Genomic DNA, 7,574 nt, shown 5'->3' on the forward strand with positions numbered 1-7,574 from the left:
TGGCCTAATTTTTAATTTAATTTTAATTTTATTATTACTTTTTGAGACAGGGTCTCACTCTGTTGCCCATTTTAATTTTTTTATTATTTTTTGAGACAGAGTCTCACTCTGTTGCCAAGGCTGGAGTGCAGTGGTGCAGTATTAGCCACTGCAACCTCAACTTCCTGGGCTCAGGTGATCCTTCCACCACAGTCTCCCCAGTAGCTGGGACCAGAGGCACATGCCACCTTGCCCGGCTAATTTTTGTATTTTTGGTAGAGATGGGGTTTCGCCATGTATCCTAGGCTGGTCTCAAACTCCTGGGCTCAAGCGAGCCTCTGGCCTCAGCCTCCGGAAGTGCTGGGATTACAGTCCTGAGCCACCGGGCCTGGTCAAGCTCTGATTTCTATCCAGCACCCTCCATTTCTAGGGCCTTATCTCTCCTCTGCCTTGCCACCTCCTCCTGGACTTGTCCATTTTGGCCCTTCTAGACATTTCTGTCCCTGGTCATCAGCATGATCTTTTAACAACGTAAAATATGCTTCTATGTTAATCATTTTTCTTGTTTTGTACATTTTCCTATTTTTCTGTGTTCTGGGTTCTGGGCTCATTGCCCCGGGGGATGCATACGGCTGGACCTAAGAGTGGAGAAGCTGGTTTATGTGTTTCAAAAGCTAAAGCCCTTAAGGGAAGGGAATGCTTCAGCAGAGACAGTATCTTGGCCAAGAATGGAAGGAAGGTCTGCCACCTGCTTCTTGGCAGGGTCCCCAGAGAAGAATGGCTCATGAGCCTGCCAGGCCGGCAGGACCATAAGCAGCTTGCAAAATATTCCTCTGTTTCCCAGGTTCAGAGCAGACACAGTGCAGCCTGCGGAACTGGAGGGGCTGTTGACACAGGATGATGGATGTCTTGTCATTGCTGCTAGAGGGCTGGATGCTGTACAACTCCCTGCAGGCTCCCTCCTCTCTAAGCAAATCTGGCCCTGTTGAGTATGCAGGAATTGTGGCCCAGTCTCAGGAGGACTGAGGTTAAACTTGTTTCCAGGCCGGCTGTGATGGTCACGTCTGTAATCCCAGCACTTTGGGAGGCTGAGGCAGGTGGATCACTTGAGGTCAGGAGTTCGAGACCAGCTTGCCCAACATGGTGAAACCCCGTCTCTACTAAAAATACAAAAATTAGCCAGCGTGGTGGCACCCACCTGTAATCCCAGCTACTTGGGAGGCTAAGGTAGGAGAATTGCTTGTATCTGAGACGTGGAGGTTGCAGTGAGCCGAGATTGAGTCACTGCACTCCAGCCTGGGTGACAGAGCGAGACTCCATCTCAAAAAAAAAAAAAAACTTGTTTCCAGCTGCTTCTGCAGAATAGAGCATCGAGGATGGACACTAAGGTGAATTACAGAAAATAATGTCATTGCACATTTAAGTTTGTTACTGACATTCGGTAACTGCTAGAATGCCATACATATTGGTCCACAACCAACTGACTTTCCTTTTCTTTTTCTTTTCTTTTCTTTTTTTTTTTTTTTGAGACAGAGTCTGGCTCTGTTGCCCAGGCTGGAGTGCAGTGGCAGGATCTCGGCTCACTGCAACCTCTGCCTCCTGGACTCAAGAGATCCTCCCACCTCAGCCTCCCAAGTAGCTGGACTACAGGTGCATGCCACCACACCTGGCTAATTTTGTTTGTTTGTTTGTTTGAGACCCCAGAACACAGAGCCCAGAAAAACAGGAAAATGTACAAAAAAACAAAATAGATTAAAATAGAAGCATATTTTATGTTGTTAAAAGATCATGCTGATGACCAGGGAGGGAAATGTCTGGAGGGGCCAAGATGGACAAGTCCAGGAGGAGGCAACACAGGAGTCTTGCTCTATCACCCAGGCTGGAGTGCAGTGGCACGATCTCAGCTGACTACAGCCTCCGCCTCCCGAATTCAAGCAATTCTCCTGCCTCCACCTCCCAAGTAGCTGGGATTACAGGTGTGTGCCACCACGCCCAGCCTAATTTTTGTATTTTTCTGTAGAGACGGGGTTTCACCACATAACCCGGTTGGTCTCAAACTTCTGAGCTCAAGTGATTCTCCTGCCTCAGCCTCCCAAAGTGTTTACAGGTGTGAGCCACCGAACCCAGCCTCTTTTTTTTCTTTTTCTTTTTCTTTTTTTTTTTTTTTTTTTTAAAGAGACAGGGTCTTGCATTGTCATATCCAGGCTGGAGTGTGAAGTGCATTAAAACAATCATAGCTCATTATAGCCTCCAACTTCCTGGCTCAAGTGATTCTCCTGCCTTAGCCTCCTAAGTAGCTGGGACTACGGGTGTATACCACCACACTGGCTAATTTTACGTATTTATTTATTTTAGTTTTAGAGATGGGGGTCTCACTATTTTGCCCAGTCTGGCCTTGAACTCCTGGGCTCAAACAATCTTCCCTCCTCAGCCTCTGGACTAGATGGGACTACAGGTGCACACCACCGTGATTTACATTTTTATTTATTTTCATTTTTATTTTTGAGATGGAGTTTTGCTCTTGTCACCTAGGCTGGAGTGCAATAGTGCAATTTCGGCTCACTGCAACCTCCACCTCCTAGGTTCAAGTGATTCTCCTGCCTCAGCCTCCTGAGTAGCTGGGACTACAAGTGTGAGCCACCATGCCTGGCTAATTTTTTGTATTTTTAGTAGAGATGGGGTTTCACCATGTTGGCCAGGCTGATCTCAAACTCCTGACCTCAAGTGATCTGCCCACCTTGGCCTCCCAAAGTGCTGGGATTACAGGCGTGAGCCACCGTGCCCAGCCGATTTACTTCTTTTGTTTTTTTTGAGATGGAGCCTCGCTCTGTCTCCCAGGCTGGAGTGCACTGGCGCCATCTCAGCTCACTGCAACCTCCACCTCCCGGGTTCAAGCAGTTCTCTGCCTCAGTCTCCCAAGTAGCTGGGATTATAGGCTCCCGGCTAATTTTTGTATTTTTAGTAGAGATGAGGTTTCACCATCTTGGCCAGGCTGGTCTTGAACTCCTGATCTCATGTGATCTGTATGCCTCAGCCTCCCAAAGTACTGGGATTACAGGCATGAGCCACCATGCCCCGCCCGGTTTACATTTTTGTTTTTTTTTGAGGCGGAGTCTTGCTCTGTCGCCCAGGCTGGAGTGCAGTGGCACCATCTCAGCTCACTGCAAGCTCCGCCTCCCAGGTTCCCACCATTCTCCTGCCTCAGCCTCCCGAGTAGCTGGGACTACAGGTGCCCACCACCACACCCGCCTAATTTTTTGTAGTTTTAGTAGAGACGGGGTTTCACTGTGTTAGCCAGGATGGCCTCAATCTCCTGACCTCGTGATCCACCCTCCTCGGCCTCCCAAAGTGCTGGGATTACAGGCGTGACCCACCGCACCCAGCCCCGATTTACACTTTCAAAGGACTATTTGGCTGTGTAGAAGAAGGTGTGAGGCAGATTAGAGGGGAAGCAGAGGAGAAGCGGCAAAATGAGGAAGCTATTGCAGACATTCAACTGAGGCATGATGGTCACATGACTGGAAGGTGGCTGTGGAAGTAGGGAAAGAAAGATAGATTTGGGATGTATTTTGGAGTTCGAATCAACAGGATTTGATGAGGAATGGGATGGGGAGGGGGAAAGATGGTGGTGAGGGAGAGGAAGACACCAAGGACAGCTCCCAGGTTTCTGGATTGAACATGTGGGTGGCGAGTAGTTGTGCTATTTACTGAGATGGGGAAGGTGGTTTTGTTTGTTTGTTTTTTTCCACTCTATAGGGTGCAAGTAAGGAGACTCTAGAATGTCCACTTGGGACATTCTAGCAGTTACCGAATGTCAATAAAAACTTAGATGTGCAATGACATTATTTTCTGTAATTCATCTTAGCTTTCACCCCAGTGCTGTAGGGGGCCTGCCCCTCCACACCTGTGGGTATTTCTCGTCAGGTGGGACGAGAGACTGAGAAAATAAATAAGACAGAGACAAAGTAGAGAGAAAGAACAGTGGGCCCAGGGGATCAGCGCTCAGCATACGGAGGACCCGCACCGGCACTGGTCTCTGAGTTCCCTCAGTATTTATTGATTAGTATTTTCACTATCTCGGCAAGGGGAATGCAGCAGGAGAACAGGGTGATAGTGGGGAGAAGGTCAGCAGGAAAACGTGAGCAAAGGAATCTATGTCACAAATAAGTTCAAGGGAAGGTACTGTGCCTGGATGTGTACATAGGCTAGATTTATGCTTCTCTCCACCCAAACAGCTCAGTGTAGTAAAAAATTACAGCGCAGCATTGCCGCCAGCATATCTTGCCTCCAGCCACAGGGCGGTTTTCTTCTATCTCAGAATAGAACAAATGTACGATCGGGTTTTACACTGAGACATTCTGTTTCCAGGGACAAGCAAGAGACAGAGGCCTTCCTCTTATCTCAACCGCAAGAGGCCTTCCTCTTTTACTAATCCTCCTCAGCACAGACCCTTTTTTGGGTGTTGGGCTGGGGGACGGTCAGTTCTTTCCCTTCCCACGAGGCCACATCTCAGGCTGTCTCAGTGGAGGGAAACTTTGGACAATGCCCAGGCTTTCTTAGGCAGAGGTCCCTGCGGCTTTCCGCAGTGCATTGTGCCCTTGGTTAATCGAGACTGGAGAATGGCGATGACTTTTACCAAGCATACTACCTGTAAACATATTGTTAACAAGGCACAGCCTGCACAGCCCTAGATCCCTTAAACCTTGATGCCATACAGCACATGTTTCTGTGAGCACAGGGTCGGGGCTAAAGTTTACGGATTAACAGCATCTCAAGGCAAAACAATTTTCTTAGTACAGATCAAAATGGAGTTTCTTATGTCTTCCTTTTCTACATAGACACAGTAACAGTCGGATCTCTCTCTTTTCCCTATACAATGCTCTATATGTTTGAGATGCCCCTGAGATATTAGAACAGTTAACACTTATGGAATGCTTAACAAATGCCAAGCACTGTTCTTGTTACCAAAACAGCAGGGGTTCAGGCGAGGTCCTGCTGCTTGCCGCACAGAAAGCCAATCACTGAGACGATTATTGCCAAGGAAGAAGGCTTTAATTGGGTGCTGTGGCTGAGATGGGAGATTGGTCTCAAATCCATCTCCCTGATCGACTGAAGTTAGGGTCTTATATAGCAGGGAACAAATGTAACCATGTATGGGAAAACAAGAACTTGGGGGAAGGGTAAGGAAGCAATCATGATGAATGAGGGGCCTGGCATTTCATTGTCTAGATGCCATGATCTGGTGAGTTTCAGTTCTTTCATACTTTTTGAGAGGGCTGATGGTCATTTCCTAAAGAAGAAATTCAGATCAAGTAAATGTAAGTTTCAAGCTTTAAGACCAAAAGGGTTGACCCGCACCATGGCTCATGCCTGTAATCCCAGCACTTCGGGAGGCTGAGGCCAGTGGATCGCTTGAGGTCAGGAGTTTAAGACCAGCCTGGCCAACATGGTGAAACCCCATCTCTTCTAAAAATACAAAAAATTAGCTGGGCATGGTGGCGCACGCCTGTAATCCCTGCTACTCAGGAGGCTGAGGCAGGAGAATCACTTGAACCCAGGAGGTGGAGGTTGCAGTGAAGCGAGATCATGCCACTGCACTGCAGCCTGGGCCAAAAGAGTGAAACTCCATCTCAAACAAACAAACAAACAAACAAACAAGAAAACAAAGTACTAGGATTATAGGCATGAGCCAACACTGTGTCCGGCTTATCTAAGATTTTCATAGCTAGAGAGAAGTTAATGCCTGGCTTTGAAGCTTCAAAGGACAGGCTGACTCTTGTTCGGGGTAATGCAGCTGGTGACTTGAAGTTAAAACCAATGCTCCTTTGCCATTCTGAAAATCCCAGGGCCCTTAAGAATTACATTAAATCGGCCAGGTGCGGTGGCTCACACCTGTAATCCCAGCACTTTGGGAGGCTGAGGTGGGCAGATCACCTGAGGTCAGGAGTTCGAGACCAGCCTGACCAATATGATGAAACCCTGTCTCTACTAAAAATACAAAAATTAGCCAGGTGTGGTGGCATATGCCTGTAATCCCAGCTACTTGGGAGGCTGGGACAGGAGAATCGCTTGAACCCAGGAGGCAGTGCCGTGAGCCGAGATTGCGCCACTGCACTCCAGCCTGGGCAACAAGAACGAAACTCTATCTCAAAAAAAAAAAAAAAAAAAAAAAAAGAATTACATTAAATCGACTCTGCCTGTGCTCTAGAAATGGAACAACAAAGCTTAGGTGACTGCACATCTGTTTACAAGATGGTTTGCTGAATATTTGAAGCCCACTGTTGACACCTCCTGCTCAGAAAAAAGAAAAGATTCTGTTCAAAATAGTATTGCTTATTGACAATGCACCTGGTCACCCAAGAGCTCTGCTGAAGATGTACAAAGAGATTAATGTTGTTTTCATGGCTGCAAATAAAACATCCATTCTGCTGTTCATGGATCAAGGAGCAATTTAGACTTTTAAGTCTTATTATTTAAGAAATACATTTTGTGAGGCTGTAGCTGCCATAGATAGTGATTCCTCTGATGGATCTGGGCAAGGTAAATTGAAAACCTCCTGGAAAGAATTCGCCATTCTGGAAGCCATTAAGAACATTCAGGGTTCATGGGAGGAGGTGACAATATCCACATTAGCAGGAGTTTAGAAGAAGTGAATTCCACCCTCATGGATAAGTTTGAGGGATTCAAGACTTCAGTGGAGGAAGGAATTGCAGATGTGGTGGAAATAACAAAAGAACTAGGATTAGAAGCCAAGCGTGAAGATGGGACTGAATTGCTACAATCTCATGATCAAACTTGAAAAGATGATGAGTTGCTTCTTTGTTACGTCTTGGTGTTTTTTGAGACAGAGTCTCGCTCTGTTGCCCAGGCTGGAGTGCAGTGGTGTGATCTTGACTCACTGTAACCTCCGCCTCGTGGGTTCAAGAGATCCTCATGCCTCAGCCTCCTGAGTAGCTGGGATCACAGCTGTGCACCACCACACCCTGCTACTTTTTGTATTTTTTTTTTTTTTTTTAGAGAGGGGCTTCGCCTTATTGGCTAGCCTGGTCTTGAACTCCTGGTCTCAAGTGATCTGCCTGCCTTGGCCTCCCAAAGTGTTGGGATTACAGGCATGAGCCACTGTGCCTGGCAAGGGGTTGCTTCTTATGATGAGCAAAGAAAGCGGTTTCTTTTTTTTTTTTTTTGGAGACGGAGTCTTGCTCTGTCACCCAGGCTGGAGTGCAATGGTGCCGTCTGGGCTCACTGCAATCTCTGTCTCCTGGGTTCAAGCGATTCTCCTGCCTCAGCCTCCCAAGTAGCTGGGACTACAGGCACGTGCCAGCATGCCCAGCTAATTTTTGTATTTTTAGTAGAGACAGGGTTTCACCATGTTGGCCAGGCTGGTCTCAAACTCCTGACCTCAAGTGATCCACCTGCCTCAGCCTCCCAAATTGCTGGCATTACAGGCGTGAGCCACCGCGCCCAGCCAGAAAGTGGTTTCTTGAGATGGAAACTACTCCTGGTGAAGATTGTGTGAACACTGTTGAAATGACAACAAAGGATTTATAATATCCTATAAACTTGGTTGATCAGCCATCTAAGTTTTATAGTTTTAG

The sequence above is a fragment of the Homo sapiens genome, chromosome 7 (assembly GCF_000001405.40).
Source record: "Homo sapiens chromosome 7, GRCh38.p14 Primary Assembly".
In the NCBI taxonomy this organism is placed as follows: Eukaryota; Metazoa; Chordata; class Mammalia; order Primates; family Hominidae; genus Homo; species Homo sapiens.